Raw genomic sequence first — 22,903 nt, forward strand, 5'->3', positions numbered from 1 at the left:
CAGGATGGTCTTGATCTCCTGAACTTGTGATCCACTGCCTCAGCCTCCCAAAGTGCTGGGATTACAGGCATGAGCCACCACACCAGCCCGGTTTTTCAATATACTTGTCCATGGGTCCCTAAATGTCTTGTCGTAGATTCTTTAAAAAGAGTGTTTCCAACATGCTGAATCAAAAAAAAAAAAATGGTTTAACTCTGTGTAATGGATCTGTTCATCACAAAACTTTTTTACAGGTAGCTTATTTCTAGTTTTTATCACGGGACATTCAGATTTTTAATACGGGCCTCAATGGGCTCCACAGTGTCCCTTCATAGATTCTACAAAAAGAGTGTTTCCACCCCGCCCTTCATAGATTTTCCATAAACAGTGTTTTCAACGTGCTGAATGAAAACAATGGTTTAAGTCTTTTAGCTGAATCTACTCATCTGAAAGCATTTTCACAGATAGCTTGTTTCTAGTTTGTATTGAGAGATAATCGATTTTTCACTATAGGCCTCAATAAGCTTCTAAATGTCCCTTTGTAGATTCTTTAAAAAGAGTGTTTCCAACCTTGTGAATCAAAACAATGGTTTACCTATGTGAGATGAATGCACACATCACAAAGCATTTTCACAGATATCTTGTTTCTACTTTTTATCATGGGATATTCGGTTTTCCACCATAGGCCTCACTGGGCTTCATAACGTTCCCTTGTAGATTCTACAAAATGAATGTTTTCAACCTGCTGAATCAAAACAAAGGTTTAAATCTGTGAGATGAATCCAGACATCACAAAGGATTTTCACAGGTACCTTGTATGTCGTTTTTATTAAGGGAAATTTGATTTTTCCCAACAGGCCTCAATGGGCTCTAAATGATCCCTTCCTAGATTCTACAAAAAGAATGTTTCCAACCTTCTGAATCAAAACAAAGTTTAACTCTGTGAAAGGAATCTGCACATAGCAAAGCATTTTCACACATTGCTTGTTTCTAGTTTTAATGGCAGGATATTCGGTTTTTCACAATATACCTTAATGGGCTTCGAACTGTCCCTTTATAGATTTTACAAAAGGAATGTTTTCTAACTGCTGGATCAAGACAAAGGTTTAACTCTGTGAAATGAATCCGCACATCTAAAAGCATTTCCACAGTTTGCCTGTTTCTAGTTTTTATCGTGGCATATTCAGATTTTCACTATAGGCCTCAATGTGCTTTGATACGTCCCTTCTTAGATTTTACTCAATGAGTGTTTTCTACCTACTGAATTAAAAGAAAGGTTTAACACTGTGAGATGAATCCACACATTGCAAAGAATTTCCACAGGTAGCATCTTTCTAATTTTTATCGCAAATATTCATTTTTTTCACAATAGGCCTCAATGGGCTCTGAAGTGTCCCTTCATAGATACCACAAGAAGCTTGTTTCCAACCTGCTGAATCAAAACAAATGTTTAACTCTGTGAGATAAATGCATGCATCATAAAGTATTTTCAAATATAACTAGTTTTTAGTTTTTATCATGGGATATTCAGTTTCTCACTATAGGCTGCAATGGGCTAAGAAATGTCCCTTTGTAGATACTGCAAAAAAGTGTTACCACCCTGCTGAATCAAAACAAGGGTTTAACTCTGTGAAATAAATGAACACATCACAAAGCATTTTCACAGATAGCTTTTTTCTAATTTTTATCGTGGGATGCTTTTTTTCCACTATAGGCCTCAATGTGCTTTGAAATGTCCCTTTCTAGATTCTACAAAAAAGGTATTTAAAACCTCCTGAATCAAAACAAAAGTTAAACTCAGGGAGATGAATGCACATATTTCAGAGAATTTTTACAGATAGCTTGTTTCTAGTTTTTATCACGGGATATTCATTTTTTCACTATAGGCCTCATTTGGCTCCGAAAAGTTCCTTTGTAGTTTCTAAAAATAAAGTGTTTCCAACCCGCACTTAGTAGATTTTACTAAAACAGTGTTTTCAACCTTTTTAATAAAAACAAAAGTTTAATTATGTGACATGAATATACACATCACAAAGTATTTACATAGATAGCATGTTTCTAGTTTTTATCATGGGATATGCGGTTTTTTACTGTAGGCCTAAATCAGCTCTGAAGTGTCCCTTCTTAGGTTCTAGAAGAACAGTGTATCCTACCTGCTGAACCAAAATAATGGTTTAGCCCTGTGAGATGAATCCACAGATCTCAAAGCATGTTCACAGATAGCTTGTTTCTAGTTTTTATCATGGAATGCTTGGTTTCTCATTATAGGCTTCACTGGGCTCTAAAATATCCATTCGTAGATTCTATAAAAAGAGTGTTTCCAACCTACTTAATCCAAATAAATGTTTCACTCTGTAAAGTGAATCCAAACATCACAAAGCATTTTGATGGATAGCTTGTTTCTAGTTTTAATCATGGGATATTCAGTCTTTTTCTGTAGACTTCAATGGTCTCTGAAATGTCCCATTGTAGATTTTACAAAAAGAGTGTTGCCAGCCAGCTGAATCAATACAAACGTTTAACTCTGTGAGATAAATCTTCCATCACAAAGCATTTTCACAGATAGCTTGTTTCTGGTTTTCAAGGCGAAATATTCAGTTTTTCACTATAGGCCTCAATGGACTCCAAAATGTTTCTTTGTAGATTTTACAAAAGAGTGTTTCCAACCTGCTGAAACAAAACAAAGGTTAAACTGTGTGAGATGAATCCACACTTTGCAAATCATTTTCACAAATTACTTGTTTCTAGTTTTTATCATGGAATATTCAGTTTTCCACTGTAGGCCTCAATGGGTTCCAAAATGTCCCTTCGCAGATACTACAAAAAGAGTGTTTCCAACCTGCTGAATAAAAACTAAGATTTAGCTCTGTAAAATGAATCCACACATTGCCAAGCATTTTCACCAATAGTTTGTTTCTAGTTCTAATTGCAGGATATTCGGTTTTTCACTATAGGCCTCAATGGCCTCCAAAATGTCCCTTTGTAGATCCCATTAAAAGGATGTTTCCAACCTCCCCTTTGTAGATTTTACAAAAAGAGTATTTCCATCCTGCTGAATAAAAACAAAGGTTTATCTCTGTGAGATGAATTCACACATCATGAAACATTCTCATATGTAGCTTGTTTCAAGTTTTTATAGCGGGATATTTAGTTTTATGACTATAGGCCTCAATGTGCTCCGAAATGTCACTTTGTAAACTGTGTCAAAAGAGTATTTCCAACCTGATGAATAAAAATAAAGGTTTAAGTCTGTGAGATGAATCCACACATCACAAACCATTTTCACAGACAGCTTGTTTCTACTTTTCATCATGGGATATTTGGTTATTCACTATAGACTTCAATATGCTCTGAGATGTCCCCTTTTAGTTCTACAACAGAGTGTTTCAAACCTACTGAATCAAAACAAAGATTTAACTCTGTGACATGAAATGACCCATTGTAAAGCATTTTTACAGGTAGCTTGTTCCTAGTTTTTATTGCAGAATATTCAGTTTTTTACTACAGGCCTCAATGGGCTTTGAAATGTCCTCTTGTAGATTCTACAAAAAGAGTAATTTTGGTCTGCTGAATCAAAACAAAAGTTAACTCTGTGAGATACATCCACACATTGCCAAGGATTTTCACAGATACATTTTTCTAGTTTTTATCATGGAATATTTGGTTTTTTACTACAGTTCTCAATGTACTCTGAAATATCCCTTAATATATTCTTGAATAAGTTTGTCTCCAACCTGCTGAGTTAAAACAAAGCTTTAACTCTGGGAGATGAATCCACACATCACAGCACATTTTCACTGATAGATTGTTTCTACTTTTTATCTTGGGACAATCTGTTTTTGACTATAGGCCTCAATGGGCTTTAAAATGTCCCCTCGTAGATTCTACGAAAAGAGTGCTTCAAACTTGCTTAATCAAAGCAAAGGTTAAATTATGTGAGATGAAGCCACACATCACAAAGCATTTTCACATATAGCTTGTTTCTAGTTTTTATCATGGGAGATTTGATTTTTTACTATAGGCCTCAATTGGCTCTGAAATGTAAACTTTTATATTCTACAATAAAAGTGTTTTCAACCTGCTGAATCAAAACAAATGTTTAACTCCATGAGATGAGTCCACACATCACAAACATTTTCACAAGCAGCTTGTTTCTAATTTTTATTATGAGATATTCAGTTTTTCAGTACAAGCCTCAATGGGCTCCAAAATGTTTCTTCATAGATTCTAAAAATAGAGTTGTTCCAACCTGCCAAATCAAAACAAACATTTAACTCTGTGAGATAAATCCATACATTGCAAAGCATTTTCACAGATAGCTTGTTTCTAGTTGTTTATTGTGGGATATTTTGTTTCTCACTATAAACCTCAATAGGCTCTGAAATGTCCCCTCATAGATTCTACAAAAAAAGTGCTTTCATCCTGCTGAATAAAAACAAAAGTTTAACTCTGTGACATGAAATGACACATCATAAAGCATTTCGACAGAGAGCTTTGTTCTAGTTTTTGTCATGGCACATTCAGTTTTTCACTACAAGCCACAGTGGGCTCCAAAATGTCCCTTCGTGGATTCTACAAAAAGTGATTTTGGCCTGCTGAATCAAAACAAAGGTTCAACTCTGTGAGATGAATCCACACATCACAAAGAATTTTCACAGATAGCTTGTTTCTAGTTTTCATCCTAGGATATTAGGGTTTTTTCATGCATTTCTTCATGGGCTCTGAAATGCTCCTTTGTAGATTCTACAAAAAGTGTTTCCAACCTGCTGAATCATAACAAAGGTTTAACTCTGTGAGTTGAATCCACACATCATGAAACATTCTCATATGTAGCTTGTTTCTAGTTTTTATCTCGAGATATAAAGTTTTTAACTGTAGGCCTCAATGTTCTCTGAAATGTGCCTTCTTAGATTCTACAAAAAGAGTATTTCCAACCTGTTGAATCAAAACCAAAGTTTAACTCTTTGAGATGAATTGACACATTGCAAAGCATTTTCACAGATAGCTTTTTTCTAGTTTTTGTCACAGAAATTCAGGTTTTCACTGTTGGCCATTGTGGACCCCAAAATGGCCCTTTGAAGATTCTACAAAAAGAGTAGTTCCAACCTGCTGAATCAAAACAAAGGCTTAAATCTGTGAGATGCATTCACACATTGCAAAGCATTTTCACAGATAGCTTTTTTCTAGTTTTTGTCACAGAAATTCAGTTTTTCACTGTTGGCCTTTGTGGACTCCAAAATGGCCCTTCATAGATTCTGCAAAAAGAGTAGTTCCAACCTGCTGAAACAAAACAAAGGCTTAAATCTCCACACATTGCAAAGCATTTTCACAAATAGCTTGTTTCTGGTTTTTATCACAGGATATTTGGTTTTTGACTTTAGACCTCAATAGGCTCCAAAATGTCTCCTCCTAGATTATATAAAAAGATTGTATTCCACGTGCTGAATCAAAACACAGTTAACTTGGTGAGATCAATCTGCACATCACAAAGCATTTTCACAGATAGCTTGTTTCTCGTTTTTATCACAGGATATTCAGTTTTTCACTATAGGCCTCAAAGCACACCAAAAAGTCTTCTTGTAGATCCAAAAACAGACTGTTTCCAACCTGCTTAATCAAAACAAAGATTTAACTCTGTGAAATGAATCCACACATCCCAAAGCATTTTCACAGGTAGCTTGTTTCTAGTTTATATCTCCAGATATTTTGTTTTTCACTACAGGCTTCAATGGGCTTTGAAATGTTTCTTCATAGATTGTACTAAAAGAGATTTTCCAACCTACTGAATTATAACAAAGATTTAATTCTGTGAGATTAATCTACACATCACAAAGCATTTTCATAGATAGCTTGTTTCTAGTTTTTATTATGGTATAATTTGTCTTTCATTGTAGGCCTCAATGGGCTTTGAAATGGCCCTTAGTAGATTCTGCAAAAAGAGTATTTCCAACCTGCTGAATTAAAATAATTGTTTAAGTCTGTGAGACAAATTCACACAATGCAAAGCATTTTAACAGATATTTTGCTTGAGTTTTTATTGCAGGATATTTGGTGTCTCAATATACTCTTCCATGGGCTCCAAAATGTCCCTTTGTATATTCTACAAAAAGAGTGTTTCCAACCTGTTGAATAAAAACAAAGGTTTAATTCTGAGAGATGATTCCAAACATCACAAGACCTTTGGACAGATAGCTTGTTTCTAGTTTTCATTGTGGGATATTCAACTTTTCACCGTAGTCCTCAAGGAGCTTTGTAATGTCTTTTCATGGAATCTACAAAAACAGTGTTTCCACCCTGCTGAATCAACACAAATATTTAACTCTGTGAGATGGATCCACACATCCCAAAACATTTTCATAAATAGTTTGTTTCCATTTTTCATAGAAGAATATTTGCTTTTTCTATATATTTATCCATGGGCTCCAAAATGCCCCTTCATAGATTCTAAAAAAAGAATAGTTTCAATCTGCTCATTCAAAACATATGTTTAATAATCTGAGAGATAAATCCACCCATCACAAAGCATTTTCACAGATAGCCTGTTTCTAGTTTTTAATTTCAGGATATTTAGTTTTTCATTGTACACCTCAATGGGCTCCAAAATGTCCCTTCATAGATTCTACAAAAAGAGTGATTCCAGTCTGTGGAATCAAAACAAATGTTTAACTCTGTGGGATGAATCCACTGACTGCAAAGCATTTTCACAGATAGGTTTTTTCTAGTTTTTATCATGGGATATTTGGTTTTTTACTCTTGGCCTCAATGGGCTTCAAAATGTCCCTTCGTAGATTATACAAAAAGAGTGTTTCCAAGCTGCTGAATCAAAACAAAGAATTAACTCTGTGACATGAATCCACACATCACAAAGCATTTTCACAGATAGACTGTTTCTAGTTTTTATCATGGGATATTTAGTTTTTCACTATAGACCTCAATTGGCTCTGAAATGTCCCCTCATAGATTCTTCAAAAATAGTATTTCCAGCTCTGCTAAATCAAGACAAGAGATTAACTTTGTGATATGAATATACATATGGCAAATAATTTTTAGTGATAAGTTGTTTCCAGTGTTTTTGATGTGATATTCAGTTTTTCACTGTAGGCTTCAATGGCCTCTGAAATGTCCACACGTAGGTGGTACAAAAGGACTGTTTCCAACATGCTGAATCAAAACAAAGGTTTAACTCTATCAGATGAATCCAAACATTGCAAAGGATTTTCACAGGTAGCTTGTTTCTAGTTTTTATCGTGAGATATTTGGATTTTTACTAATGGCCCTAATGGACTCTAAAATGTCCCTTCTTAGATTTTACAAAGAGAGTGTTTCCAACCTGCTTAATCAAAACAAAGGTTTAACTCTGTGAGATGAATCTACACATCACAAAGCATTTTTAGAAATAGACTTTTTATTGTTATTGTTGCAAAATATTCAGATTTTTACCGTAGGCATTAATGGGTGTTGTTGGGAAAAGGTGAGTGTTGGGAGAAGCTGAGACAGGGCTTGCATGTCTGACATAATGTAAAAGAGTCTTGGAACATGTCCAGGGTCCAGGGTCTAAAACCCCTTGTGGCATTTGGAACACCAAAGTCTGTGCTAAAGGGTGGAAGGCTATCCAGATGCACAATAATCTAAGCCCAGGGCATAAAATCCCTGATGGCAGGGATAGAATCCAGGGTTTGTGGCTTTGGAATGTGTCCAGAATTGCTGGATCCTTGCTCCTTGCTCTCCCAGAATTGATTGTATCTTGAGTTAGAAGAACCTGCTCTCCATTATCTCAAGTAGCAGAGCAAATGCTAAACCATCACAGCTGTAAATCATGTGTTTAATGCAACACACTCTTTTGACCACATTCTCACCACCTGTTTCTTTGTTGGATTACCAATAAATACTACGGGCTTCCAGAGCTCAAGGCCTTCATAGCCTCCATGATCGTGATGGACCCTGGTCCCACTTTACTTCTCAAACTGTCTTTTTCTCAATCATTTGACTCCACCGGACTTCATCAACCCCACAACCTGGTGTTGGGTCTGATCACCCCAACAGGTGTGATGTATCCTTTCATAAATCCATGCATTGCAAAGTATTTTCAAAGATAGCTTGCTTGTAGTTTTTATCACGGGATATTCAGGTTTTCACTATTGGCCTCAATGGGCTCTGACATGTTTCTTCATAGATTCTACAAAGGGAGTGTTTCAAACCTACTGAATCAGAAGAAAGGTTTAATTCTGTGAGATGAATCCACACATTGCAAAGCATTTTCACAGATACTTTTCTTCTAGTTTTTGTCAAAGGATATTCAGTTTTTCAGTATAGGCTTCAGTGGGCTCTGAAATATCCCTTCGCAGATTCTACAAAAGGAGCGTTTCCAATCTGCTGAATAAAAACAAAGGTTTAACTCTGTGAGATGAATCCATACTACTCAAAGCATTTTCACAGATGGCTTGTTTCTAACCTTTATAATGAGACATTCAATTTTTCACTATTGGCCTCAATGGGCTCCATAGTGTCTCTTCCTAGATTCTACAAAAACAGATTTTTCATTTCTCCAAATCAAAATAAAAGTTTACTCTGTGATATGAAATCACACATCACAAAGGATTTTCACAGATAGCTTTTTCTAGTTTTTATCATAGGATATTGGGTTTTTGACTATAGGCTTCAGTGGACTCTTAATTGTACCTTCTTAAATGCTACAATAAAGTATTTTCAACTTGCTGGATCAAAACAAAGGTTTGACTTTGTGAGACGAATCCTCACATCGCAAAGCATTTTCACCCATAGCTTGTTTCTAGTTTTTACCGAGAGATATTATTTTTTCACTAGAGGCCTCAATGGGCTCCTAATTGTCCCCTTGTAGATTCTACAAACAAAGAGTCTAACCTGCTGAAGCAAAACAAAGTTTAACTTTGTAAGATAGACCTACACATCACAAAGCATTTTCACAGATAGGTTGTTTTTAGTTTTTATCAAGGGATATTTGATTTTTCACTGTAGGTCTCAATGGGCTATGAAATGTCCCCTCTAGATCCACAAAAAAAAGTTTCCAACCTGTTGAATCAAAAGAAAAGTTCAACTTGTGAAATGAAATCACACATCATAAAGTATTTTCAGAGATAGCTTCTTTATAGTTTCTATCACTGGATATTTGGTTTTTCACTATAGACCTCAATGAACTTCAAAATGTCTCTTTGTAGATTCTACAACAAGAGTGTATCCAACCTGCAGAATAAAAGCAAAGGTTTAACTCTGTGAGATGAATCCACACATCACAAAGCATTTTCAGAGATAATTTTTTTTATTGTTTTTATCGCAAAATACTCACTTTTTTACTATAGGCTTTTATAGGTGTGAAACATCCCTTTGTATATTCTACAAAAAGGTATTCCAAACTTGCTGAATAAATGCAGAGGTTTAAATTTGTGACATGAATCCACATATTGCACAGCATTTTTACTGACAGCTTTTTTCTAGTTTTTATCACGGGATAATCAGTTTTTCAGTATAGGCCTCAATTTGGTCCGAATAGTACCCTAGTAGATTGTAGAAAAAGAGGGTTTCCAACCTGCTGAATTACAAGAAAGGTTAAACTCTGTGAGATAAAATCACACATTGTAAAGAATTTTTAGACATAGCTTCTTTGTAGTTTTTATTACAGGACATTTGATTTTTTACTATAGGCCTCAATGAGCTCTGATATTTCCCCTGGTAGATTGTACAAAAAGAGCATATCCAATCTGCTGAATCAAAACAAACATTTAACTCTGTAAGACAAATCTACATATCGCCATGCATTTTCACAGATAGCTTGCCTCTAGTTTTTATCACGGGATATTTGATTTTTCACTATAGGCCTCAATGGGCTCCAAAATGTTGCTTCATAGATTCTACAAAAAGAGTGTTTCCAACCTGCTGAATCAAAAGAAAGGTTTAACTTTTTGAGATAAATACACGCATTGCAAAACATTTTTACAGGTAGTTCATTTTAGTTTTTATCATGGGATATTCCATTTCTCACTATAGGAATGAATGGGCTCTGAAATGTCACTTCAAAGATTCTACAAAGAGAGTGTTTCCAACCTGCTGAATCAAAACAAACATTTAACTTGTTGAGATGAATCCTCACATCACTAAGCATTTTCACAGATAGATTGTTTTTAGTTTTATCATGGGATATTCAGTTTTTGATTATAGGCCTCAAAGACTGAATTGTGGCCAAGCAGATAGTAAAACATATGTGTCTCCAACCTTCTGAATAAAAATCAAAATTTAACTATGTGAGATACATCCATATATCACAAAGCATATTTACAGATAGCCAGTTTCTAGTTTTAATCATGGGATATTCAGTTTTTCACTACAGGCCTTAATGGGCTCAAAAAAGACTCCTCTTATTCTACTAAATATTTGCTTCCAATGTACTGTATAATAACAAATATTAAACGCTGTGAAAGAAATCCACAGATCACAATGCTTTTTCACAAATAGCTTGTTTCTAGTTTTTATCACAGGATATTTGGTTTTTCACTGTAGGCCTCAATGGGCTATGAAATGTTCCTTTGTAGATTCTATAAAAAGTGTGTTTCCAACTTGCTGACTTAAAATAAAGGTTTTACACTGTGAGATGAATCCACACATTGCAAAGCATTTTCACAGATAGCTTGTTTCTTTTTCTTATCATGGGATATTCAGTATTTAACTAGAGACTTCAATGGGCTCTGGAATGTCCCATAGTAAACTCTATACAAAGAGTGTTTCCAACTGGCTGAATAAAAACAAAGGTTTACGTCTGTGAGGTGAATCCACACAACACAAAGCATTTTCACTGACAGCTTGTTTCTAGTTTTATAGCAGGATTTTTTTTCAATATTGGTCTCAATGGGCTCCAAAATGTCCCTTTGTAGATTCTACAAAATTTTTTTCCAACATACTGAATCAAAACAAATGTTTAACACTGTGAGATGAATTTTCACATCAAAAAGCATTTTTACAGTAGTTTGTATTAGTTTTTATTATGAAATTTTGAATTTTTCACTGCTAGCCTCAAAATTGTCCCCTATTAGATTCTACTAAAAGAATATTTCCAACCTACTGTATAGAAACAAAAGTTTAACTCTGTGAAATGAATCCACACATTGCAAACCTACTTCACAGATAGCTTGTGTCTAGTTTTTATCAAGAATTATTTGGCTTTTCACTATAGGCCTCAATGGGCTCCAAAATGTCCCTTCATATATTTTGCTAAAAGAGTGTTTCCAACCTAGCTGAATCAAAAGAAAGTTTAAACTCTATGAGGTGAAACTGCAAATTGCAAAGCATTTTCACATATAGCTTCTATAGTTTCTATCATGGAATATTCAGTTTTTCACTATCGGCCTCCATGGGCTATGAAATGTCCCCTCGTAGGTTCTACAAAAAAAGTGTTTCTAACATGTTGCATGAAAACAAAGATTTAACTTTGGGAGATGAACCCACACATTGCAAAGCATTTCTATAGAAAGATTTTTTCTAGTTTTTATCACAGGATATTAGATTTCATACTGTAGGCCTCATTTTGCTCCAAATTTACCCCTTGTCAATTCTACAAAGAGAATATTTCCAACCTGCTGATTCAAAACAAATGTTCAATTCTGTGAGATGACATGCAAAGCTTTTCACAGATAGCCTGTTTCTAGTTTTCATCATAGGACATTTGGTTTTTCACTATAAGCATCAAAGGGCTCTGAAATGTCCCTTTGTAGATTCTACAAAAAGAGTGTTCCCAACCTGATGAATCGAAAGAAAATTTTAACTTTGTAAGATGAATCCACACATCACAAAGCATTTTCACTCATAGCTTGTTTCTAGTTTTTATCGTGGGTTATTGGTTTTCACTAAATGCCTCAATGAGCTATGAACAGTCCCTTGTAGATTCTACAAAGAAAGAATTTCCAATCTGCTGAAGCAAAACAAAGTTTTAACTTTGTAAGATGAATCTACACATCACAAAGCATTTTTACAAAAGGTTGTTTTTAGTTTTTATCAAGAGATATTCTATTTTTCACAGTACACCTCAATGTGCTACAAAATGTCCCCTAGTAGATTCTACAAAAAAACTTTCTAAACTGCTGAATCAAAAGAAAAGTTCAACTGGTGAGATGAAATCACACATCACAAAGTATTTTCAGAGATAGCTTCTTTATAGTTTTTATCATGGGATATTAGATTTTTCAATATAAGCCTCAATGAGCTCTGAAATATCCCTTTGTAGATTCTACAAAAAAAGTGTTTCCAACCTGCAAAATAAAAAGGAAGGTTTAATTCTGTGAGATAAATCCACACATTGCAAATCATCTTCACAGTTGGCTTGTTTCTAATTTTTATTGTGGAATATTTGGCTTTTCACTGAAATTCTCAAGTGCTCTGAAATGTCCCTTTGTAGATTCTATAACAAGAGTGTTTTCAAACTGCTGAATGAAAACAAAGGTATAACGCTTTAAGAGGAATCCACACATCACAAAGCATATATTCAGATATCTTGTTTCTAGTTTTTAAAGCATGATATTTGGTTTTTCACTATAACCCTCAATGGGCTCAGAAATGTCTCATAGTAGATTTTACAAAAACAGTATTTCCTACCTGCTAAATCAAAGCAACAGCTTAAATCTGTGAGATTAATCCAAACCTCGCAAAGCATTTTCACAGATAGCTTACTCCTAGTTTTTATCGCAGGATATTTGGATTTTCAGTATAGGCTTCAATGGGCTCTGAAATGTCCATTCATAAGTTATATAAAAAGTATGTTCCCAAACCCCTGAAAAAAAAATGAAGGTTTAACTCTATGAGATGAATCCACACGATGCAAAGCATTTTCACAGATAGCTTGTTTCTAGCTTTTATGATGAGACATTCGAATTTTTACTATTGGCCTCAATGGGGTCAGAAATGTCTTTTTGTAGATTCTACAAAAAAAAAAGGCTTTTATTTTTCTGAATCAAAATAAAGGTTTAACTCTTCTATATGAAATCACACATCTCAAAGTATTTTCACAGATAACTTGTTTCTAGTGTTTATCACTGGATATTGGGTTTTTCACTATAGGCTTCAGTGGACTCTTAATTGTAACTTCTTAATTCTTCAAAAAGTGTGTTTCCAACCTGCTGTATGTAAGTAAGTGTTTACCTCTGTGAGACAAATCTTCACATTGCAAAGCATTTTCCCCAATAGCTTGTTTGTAGTTTTAATTGCATAATATTTGGTTTTGTACTATAATCCTCAATGGGCACCGAAGTGTCCCTTCGTAGATTATATGAAAACAGTGTTTCTAACCTGTTGAATCAAAACAAAGGTTTAACTGTCAGATGAATCTACACATTGCAAAGCATTTTCACAGGTAGCTTGTTTCAAGTTTTCATCGCAGGATATACGTTTCTTCATTATAGGCCCCAAGAGCTCCAAAATGTCTTAGAGTATTTCAAACCTGCAGCATAAAAACAAAGGTTTAACTTTGAGACAAATGCATACATCACAAAGAATTTTCACAGAAAGCTTGTTTCTAGTTTTTATCAGGAGATACTCAGTTTTTCACTATAGACCTCAAGGGGCTTTGAAACATCCCTTCATAGATTACACAAAAAGATTGTTTCCACCTTGCTGAAACAAACAAACAAAAAATTAACTCTTTGAGATGAATCAACACATTGCAAATCTATTCACAGATAGCTTGTTTCTAGTTTTTTTTTTTTTTTTTTTGAAGGGTATTCTGTTTTTCACTATAGGCACCAATAGGCTCCTAAATGTCCCTCCGTAGATTCTACAAAAAGAGTGTTTCCAACCTGCTGAACCAAAAGAAAGGTTTAATTCTATGAGATGAAATCATGCACAAGAAAGCATTTTTTTGAGATACCTTTTTTATAGTTTTTATCACTGGATATTCTATTTTTCACAGTAAGCCTCAATGGGCTTTGAAATATCTCTTTGTCGATTGTACCAAAGGAGAGTTTCCAATTTCCTGAATCAAAACAAAGGTTTAATGTTGTGAGATAAATCCACAAATTGCAAAACATTTTGACAGAAAACTTGTTTCTAGTTTTTATCACAGGATATTTGGTTTTCATTATAGGCCTCAGTGGGCTAAGAAATGTCCCCTCATCAAATCTACAAAATAGGTTTCTCCAACCTGCTGAATCAAAATTAACATTCAACTCTGTGAAATGAATCCACACATCACAAAGCCTTTTTTTTTTTGATGGAATCTCACTCTATGACCCACGCTGCCGTACAGTGGTGTGACCTCAGCTCACAGCAACCTCCACCTCCTGGGTTCAAGCAATTCTCCTGCCTCAGCCTCCTGAGTAGATAGGAGTACAGGCACACACCACCATGCCCAGCTATTTTTTTTTTTGTATTTTTAGTAGAGACAGGGTTTCAAAATGTTGGCCAGGCTGCTCTTGAACTCCTGACTGCAGGTAATCCACCAGCCTCAGCCTTCCAAAGTGCTGGGATTACAGGTGTGAGCCACTGCACCCAGCCACAAAACATTTTCACAGATAGCTAGTTTCTAGTTTTTATCACCAGATATTCAGTTTTTCACTATTGTCCACAGTGGGCTTTGAAATGTCCCCTTGTAGATTCTACAAAAATAGTGTTTTTGACCTGCCAAGTCAAAACAAATGATAAACTCTGTGAGATGAAACTACACATTTCAAAACATTTTTACAGATAGCGTATTCTAGTTTTTAATCATGATATATTCACTTTTTCACTCTAGGCCCCAATGGGCTTGGAAATGTTTTTTCATTGATTCTACAAAAAAAAATTGTTTCCAACTTTTTAAATCAAAACAAATATTTAACTCTGTGAGATGAATTCACAAATCACAAAATATTTTCACAGATAATATGTTTCTAGTTTTTATCAAGGGTTGTTCTTTTTTTTATTGTAGGCCTCAGTGGGCTCTGAAATGTCCCCTTATAGATTTTATAAGAAAAGTTTCTCCAAGCTGCTGAATCAGAAGAAAAGTTAACTCTATGAGATAAAATCACACATCACAAAGCATTTTCAGAGATAGTTTTTTAAATAGTTTTTATCATTAAATATTCATTTTTTCAGTATTTGCCTCCATGGGCTCTGAAAAGTACTATCAAAGAGTAAACAAAATTAGTGTTTCCAACATACTTAGTCAAAACAAAGGTTTAACTCTGTGAGATGAATCCACACATTGCAAAGCATTTTAACAGATAGCTTGTTTCTAATATGTATCATGGGATATTCAGTTTTTCAATATAAGCCTCAAAGGGTTCTGAAATGGAACTTCTTAGATTCTACAAAGAGACTGTTTTCAACCTCCTGAATAAAAACAAAGATTTAACTCCATGAGATGAATCCACACATCTCAAAGCATTTTCACAAATAGATTTTATCTACTTTTTATCATGGAATATTGGGTTTTTCACAATAGGCTTCAATGGACTCTATATCATCCCCTATTAAATTCTACAAAATGAGTGTTTCCAACATGCTGTATATAAACAGAGGTTAACTCTTTGAGATGAATCTATATACACAAAGCATTTGCACAGAGAACATGTTTCTAGTTTTCGTAGTGAAATATTCAGTTTTCAGTCTATAAGACCTCAATGGGCTCTGAAATGTCCCTTCATAGATTGTACAAAAGTGGGTTTCCAAACTGCAGAATCAAAACAAAGGTTTAACTCTGTGAGATGAATCCACACAACACAAAGCATTTTCACTAATAATTTGTTGCTAGTTTCTATCATGGGATATTTGGTTTGTCAATATGCTCATCCATGGAAACCAAAATGTTCCTTTGTAGATTCTTAAAAAAAAAGTGTTTCCAATCTGCTGAATCAAAGCAAATGTTTAACTCTGAGAGATGATCCACACATCACAAAGCATTTTCACAGAAATCTTGATTCTCATTTTTATCAGGGAATATTTAGTTTTTCACCATAGGCCTCAATGGGCTTTGAAATGTCCCCTCTTAGACAAAAAAAAAAAAAAAAAAAAAAAGTGTTTCCAACCTTTGAATTACAACTAAGGTTTAACTCTATGAGATGAATCCACACATTACAAAGCATTTTCACAGATAGCTTGTTTCTAGTTTTTATAGAGGGATATCCAGTTTTTCACTATATGCCTCAATGGGTTTAAAAATGACCCTTCATAGATTCCACAAAAAGAGTGTTTCCAAACTGTTGAATCAAAACAAAGTTTTAACTCTGTAAAATGAATGAACATATCACAAAGCATTTTTGTAGATAGCTTGTTTCTAGTTTTTATCACAGGATATTCTGGTTTTCACTACAGGCCTCAAAGAGCTCCAAGATGTCCCTTCATAGATTCTACAAAAAGAGTGTTTCCAACCTCCTCAATCTAAAGAAAAATTTAACTCATTGAGATGCCCACATTGCAAAGCATTTTCACACACAGCTCCTTTCTAGTTTTTTTGCTGGATATGCGGTTTTTTCACTATAGGCCTAAACAGGCTCCAAAGTGTCCCTTTTAGATTCTACAATAACAGTTTTTTCTACCTACTAAATCAAAACAAAGGTTTAACTCTGTGAGATGAACCCACACATCGCAAAGCATGTTTACAGATAGCTTGTTTCCAGTTTTTATCATGGGATGTTGGATTTTTCACTGTAGACCTCAATGGGCTCTGAAATGTCCCCTTGTAGATCCTACAAAAAGAGTGTTTCCTACCTATGAAATCAAAACAAAGGTTTACCTCTGTAAAATGAATGCAAACTGCACAAATTATTTTCACAGATAGCTTGTTTCTAGTTTTAATCACGAGATATTCACTCTTACACCATAGGCCTCAATCAGCTTAGAAATGTTGCCTTGTAGATTCTACAAAAGAGTGTTTTCAACCTGCTGAATGAAAGCAAAGGTTTAACTCTGTAAAATGAATGAACACATTGCAAAGCATTTTCACATAGAGTTTGTTTCTATTTTTTTTTTGTGGGATATTTTGTTTTCCACTCTAGGCCTCAATAGGCTCTGAAATGTCCCTTCACAGATTCTACAAAAAGAGCATTTCTAACCTGCTGAATAAAAACAAAGATTTAACTCTGTAAAATTAATCCACACATCAGCAAGTATTTTCACGGATAGCTTGTTTCTAGCTTGAATCACGAAATATTAGGTTTTTTATTATAGACCTCAATGGGCTCCAAAAAGGCCCTTTGTTCATTCCACAAAAAAAAGCATTTCCAACCTGTTGAATCAAAACAAAGGTTTAACTCCATGAGATGAATCCACACATTGCCAATCAAGTTCACACATAGATTGTTTTTAGTTTTTATTGTGAAATATTCAATTTTTTACTGTAGGCTTCAATGATCTCCAAAATGTATTTTTTGTGTATTCTACAAAATGATTGCCCCAACTTTCTTAGTGAAAATAAAGTTTAACTCTCTCAGATAAATCCACACATTGCAAAGCATTTTCACAAATAAATAGTTGTTAGTTTCTATCATAGGATATTTGGTTTATCAATATATATGCACATGGGCTCCAAAATATCCCTTTGTCAATGCTTCAAAAAGGGTGTTCTTAAACTGCTGAATCAAAACAAAGTTTTAATTCTGAGACCCACATATTAGAAAGCATTTTCACAGATAGCTTGATTCTAGTTTTTATAGGGAATATTCAGTTTTTCACCATAGGCCTCGACGGGCTCCAAAATGTCCCTTTGTAGATTCTACAAAAAAAAAGTGTTCCCAGCCTGTTGAATCAAAACCAAAGTTTAACTTTGTGAGATGAATCCACACATCACAAAGCATTTTCACAGATAGCTTATTTCTAGTTTTCATTGCAGGATATTCAGTTTCTCAATATAGTCCTCCTTGGGCTCTGAAATGTTGCTTCATGGATTCTAAAAATATAGTGTTTCCAACCTGCTGATTCAAAGCAAAGGTATAATTCTGTGAGAGAAATCCACACATCACAAAGCATTTTCAAAGACAGCTTGTTTCTAGTTTTTAACATGGGATATTCAGTTTTTCAGTATAGGCCTCAATTTGCTCCAAAATGTCTTTTCGTAGATTCAAGAAAAAGAGTGTTTCCAACCTGCTAAATCAAAAGAAAGGTTTGACTCTGTGAGATAAAATCACACATTACAGAGCATTTTCAGACATAGCTTTTTTATAGTTTTTATTATGGGACATTTGGTTTTTTACTATATGCCTCAATGGGCTCCAAAATATCCCCTCATAGACTGTACAAAAGAGCATTTCCAACTTACTGAATCAAAATGAAGGTTTAACTCTGTGAGATGAATTTACTCATGGCAAAAAATTTTCACAGATAGCTTGCTTTGTGTTTTTATCACAGGATATTCCGTTTTTCTCCATAAGCCTCAATGGGCTCCAAAATATTCCTTTGTAGATTTTACAAAAAAAGTGTTTCAAAACTACTGAATCAAAACCAAAGTTTAACTCTGTGAGATGAATCCACACATCGCAAATCATTTTCATAAATAGCTTTTTTCTAGTCTTTATTGTGGGACATTTGATTTTTTGCCATAAACCTCAATGGATTCTGAAATATTGTTTTGTAGATTCTATAAAATGAGTATTTCCAACCTGCTGAATCAGAAGAAAGGTTTAACACTGTGAGATGACTCCACACATCACAAAGCATTTTCACAGATACATTGCTTCTAGTTTTTCTTGTGAGATATTCGGTTTTCACTATAGGCCTCAAATGGCTCTGAAATGTCCCTGCTTAGATTCTACAAAAAAAAAGTGTTTCCAACCTGCTGAATCAAAACAAAGTTTTAACTCTTTGAGATAAATCCACACATTGCAAAGCATTTTCACAGATAGATGTTTCTAGTTTTTATCGTGGGATATTGATTTTTCACTACATGCCAAAATGGGCTCCAAATTGTCCCCTTGTAGAATCTACAGGCAGGGCATTTTCAACGTGCTGATGCAAAACAAAGTTTTAACTGTGTGGGATGAATCTACACATCACAAAGCATTTTTACAGATACCTTGTTTCTAGTTTTTATCACAGTATATTTGGTTTATCACTATATGCCTCAGTTTGCTCTGAAATGTCCTATCATATATTCTACAAAAAGAGTGTTTTTTTGTTTGTTTGTTTGTTTGTTTTGTTTTGTTTTGTTTCATTTTTGAGAATGAGTCTCGCTCTTTTTTGCCCAGGCTGGAGTGCAGTGGTGTGATCTTGGCTCACTGCAAGCTCCACCTCCCGGGTTCATGCCATTCTCCTGCCTCAGCCTCCTGAGTAGCTGGGACTACAGATGCCTGCCACCACACCTGGCTAATTTTTTGTATATTTAGTAGAGACAGGGTTTTCACCATGTTGGCCAGGATGGTCTTGATCTCTTGACTTCGTGATCCACCAGCCTCGGCCTCCCAGAGTGCTGGGATTACAGGCATGAGCCACCATGCCCAGCCAAAAAGAGTGTTTTTAACCTGCTGAATCAAAAGAAAGGTTTAACTCTGTGAGGTGAAATTACACATTGCAAAGCATTTTCAGAGATAACTTCTTTATTGTTTTTATAGTGGGATATTAGGTTTTTCACTATAAGCCTCAATAGGCTTTGAAATATCTCCCAGTTGATTGTAAAAAAAAGAGAGTTTCCAAACTGCTGAATCAAAACAAAAGTTTAACGTCATGAGATAAAGCCACAAATTGCAAAGAATTTTCACAGATAACTTCTTTCTGGTTTTTATCACAGGATATTCAGTCTTTCACTATAGTCCTCAGCTGACTGAGAAATGTACCCTCATAGGTTCTACAAAAAGAGTGTTTCCAACCTGCTGAGTCAAAACAAAAGTTAAAATCTGTGAGATGAAATCACATATTGCAGAACATTTTTACAGAGAGCTTGTTCTAGTTTTTAGCATGGCATATTCGGTTTTTCACTATAGGCCTCAATAAGCTCTGAAATGTCCCTTCATAGATTCTACAAAAAGAGGGTTTCCAACCTGCTAAATGAAAAGAATAGTTTAACTCTGTGACATGAATCCACACATTGAAAAACATTTTCACACATAGCTTGTTTCTAGTTTTTATCACGGGATATCCAGTTTTTTTAGTACAGGCCACTGTGAGCTCCAAAATTTACTTCTGTAGATGCTACAAAAAGAGTGTTTCCAACCTTCTGAATCAAAACAGAGGTTTAACTTTGTGAGATGAATCCACAAATCTTAAAGCATTTTCACAGATAATGTTTTTTTCAGTTTTTATTGGGGATATTTGGTTTTACATGATAGGCCTCAAAGGACTCAGAAATTTCTTCTTTTAGATTCTACTAACAGAGTGTTGCCAACCTGCTGTATATAAACATAGGTTTAACTCTGTGAGATAAAGCCACACATCACAAACATTTTCACAGTTAGCTTGTTTCTAGTTTTTATCAAAAGATATTTGGTTTTTCACTATAGGTTCTAATGGGCTCTGAAATGTCTCCTCATAGATTATACATCAGTTTACAAACTGCTGAATCAAAAACAAAAAAGGGTTTACCTCTGTGGAATAAATCCAAACATTTCAAAGATAATTCACAGGCAGCTTGTTTCTAGACTTTACCATGGCATATTGGTTTTTCACTATAGGCCTCAACAGGCTCGGAAATGTTTTTTGGTTGATTCTACAAAAAAAGTGTTTCCAACCTTTTGAATCAAAACAAAGTTTAAACTCTGTGAGATGAATTCACACATCTCAGTGTGTTTTCACAGATAGCTTGTTTGTAGTTTTTGTCAAGGGATATTCATTTATTTATTGTCACACTCACTGAGCTCTGAAGTATCCCCTCATAGATTCCACAAGGAAAGTGTTTACAAACTGCTGAATCAGAAGAAAAGTTTAACTCTGTGAGATGAAATCACATGTCATAAAGCATTTTCAGAGATAGCTTCTTTATAGTTTTTATCAAGATATATTCAGTTTTTCAGAATTGGCCTCAAGGGGCTCCAAAATGTCCTCTCGTAGAGTCTACAAAATTAGTGTTTCCAGACTATTGAATCAGAACAAGGGTTTAACTCTGTAAGAAAAATCCACACATTGCAAAGCATTTTCACAGATAGCTTGATTCTAGTTTTTATCAGGGAATATTTGGTTATTCACCATAGGACTCAATGGGCTTTGAAATGTCTCTTCTTAGATTCTACAAAAAAAGTGCTTCCAACCTTCTGAATTAAAAGTAAGGTTTAACTCTATGAGATGAATTTGCACATCACAAAGCATTTTCACAGATAGCTTGTTTCTAGTTTTTATCATGGGATATCTGGTTTTTACTATAGGCCTCAATGGGCTTCAAAATGATCCTTCATAGATTCTACTAAAAGAGTGTTTCCAACCTGTTTAATAGAAACAAATGTTTAATTATGTGAGATGATTCCACACATGGTGAAGCATTTTACCACACAGCTTGTTTCTAGTTTTTATTGGTTTTTTACTATAGGCCTTCATGGGCTCCGAAATGTCCCTTGGTGGATTCTACAAAAAGAGTATTTACCGTCTGCTGAATCAAAACAAGGCTTTAACTCTGTGAGATGAATCCACACATGGCAAAGTGTTTTTACAGATAGTTTGTTTTCAGTTTTTATTGGGAAATATTTGGTTTTTCTTAATAGGCCTCAAAGGGCTCAGAAATGTCTTTTTTCTAATTCTACTAAAAGAGTGTTTCCAACCTCTGTATATAAACATAGGTTTAACTCTGTGAGATAAATCCATACATTGCAAAGCTAATTCACAGATAGCTTGTTTCTAATTTTTATCACCAGATATTGGTTTTTCAATATAATCTTTGAGATCAACTCACACATTGCAAAGCATTTTCACAGATAGCTTTTTTTAGTTTTTATCAAGGGATATTCACTTTTTATTGTAGGACTCAATAGGCTCTGAAATGCCCTTTCATAGATTCTACAAAAGAAATTGTTTCCAACCTGCTGAATCAAGAAAAGTTAAACTCCGTGGGATGAAATCACACATCACAAAGCATTTTCAGAGATAGTTTTATTATAGTTTACACCACAAAATATTTGGTTTTTCAGGGTTGGCCTCAACAAAATTTTAACTCTGTGAGATGAATCCACACATCACAGAGCATTTTTCACAAATAGCTTTTTTCTGGTTTTTATCGTGGGATAACTGGTTTTTCAATATAAACATCAATGGGCTTCAAAATATTCCTCCTTAGATTTTACTAAGAGACTATTATCAACTTCCTAAATACAAACAATGGTTAAATCAGTAAGATGAATCCACACATTACAAAGCATTTTCACAGATAAACTTTTTTTACTTTTTCTCACAGAATATTGCATTTTTTCACTATAGGCCTCAATGGACTCTAAATTGCCCTCTCTCACATTTTACAAAAACAGTGTTTCCAACCTACTGTATATAAACAAAGGTTTACCTGTCTGAGTAGAATCTACACACGCAAAGCATTTTCCTAGATAACGTTTTCAGTTTTCATTGTGAAACAATCAGTGTTTCACTATAGGTCTCAATGGGTTCCAAAATGTCCCTTCGTAGATTCTACAAATAAGGTGTTTCCAACCTGCTGAAACAAAACTAAGGTTTAACACTGAGAGATGAATCCACACATTGCAAAGCATCTTCACAGATAGCTTATTTCTAGTTTTTATCATGGAATATTTGGTTTTACACTATAGGACTCAAAGCCCTCAGAAATTTATTCTTTTAGATTCAAGTAAAAGAGTTTTTCATACCTGCAGTATAAAAACAAAGGTTTACTTCTGTGGGATAAACTCACACATTGCCAAGCATATTCACAGATAGCTTGTTTCTAGTTTTTATCACAGGATGTTTAGTTTTTCACTAAGGCTCAATGGGCTTTGAAACATTCCTCTGTAGAGTGTACAAATTTGACCTGCTGAATCAAAACAACGTTTAACTTTTTGAGATGAATCCACAC

General features: G+C 34.6%; 1 long non-coding RNA gene across 1 annotated transcript in view; it reads right to left on the reverse strand.

Moving 5' to 3' along the window:
• Window positions 1–2,361: 2,361 nt before the first annotated feature.
• Window positions 2,362–22,903, reverse strand: part of LINC02002 (long intergenic non-protein coding RNA 2002) — a 32,033-nt gene continuing 11,491 nt past the window's right edge. The window contains exons 2-7 of the long non-coding RNA NR_187277.1: window positions 22,382–22,525; window positions 13,285–13,435; window positions 12,595–12,769; window positions 9,302–9,544; window positions 9,028–9,198; window positions 2,362–2,646 (exon numbers count right to left, since the gene is read on the reverse strand). This is a non-coding gene — a long non-coding RNA (long intergenic non-protein coding RNA 2002). The remainder of the gene's footprint in view (window positions 2,647–9,027; window positions 9,199–9,301; window positions 9,545–12,594; window positions 12,770–13,284; window positions 13,436–22,381; window positions 22,526–22,903) is intronic.

The sequence above is a fragment of the Homo sapiens genome, chromosome 17, assembly GCF_000001405.40.
Source record: "Homo sapiens chromosome 17, GRCh38.p14 Primary Assembly".
NCBI classification, from domain to species: domain Eukaryota; kingdom Metazoa; phylum Chordata; class Mammalia; order Primates; family Hominidae; genus Homo; species Homo sapiens.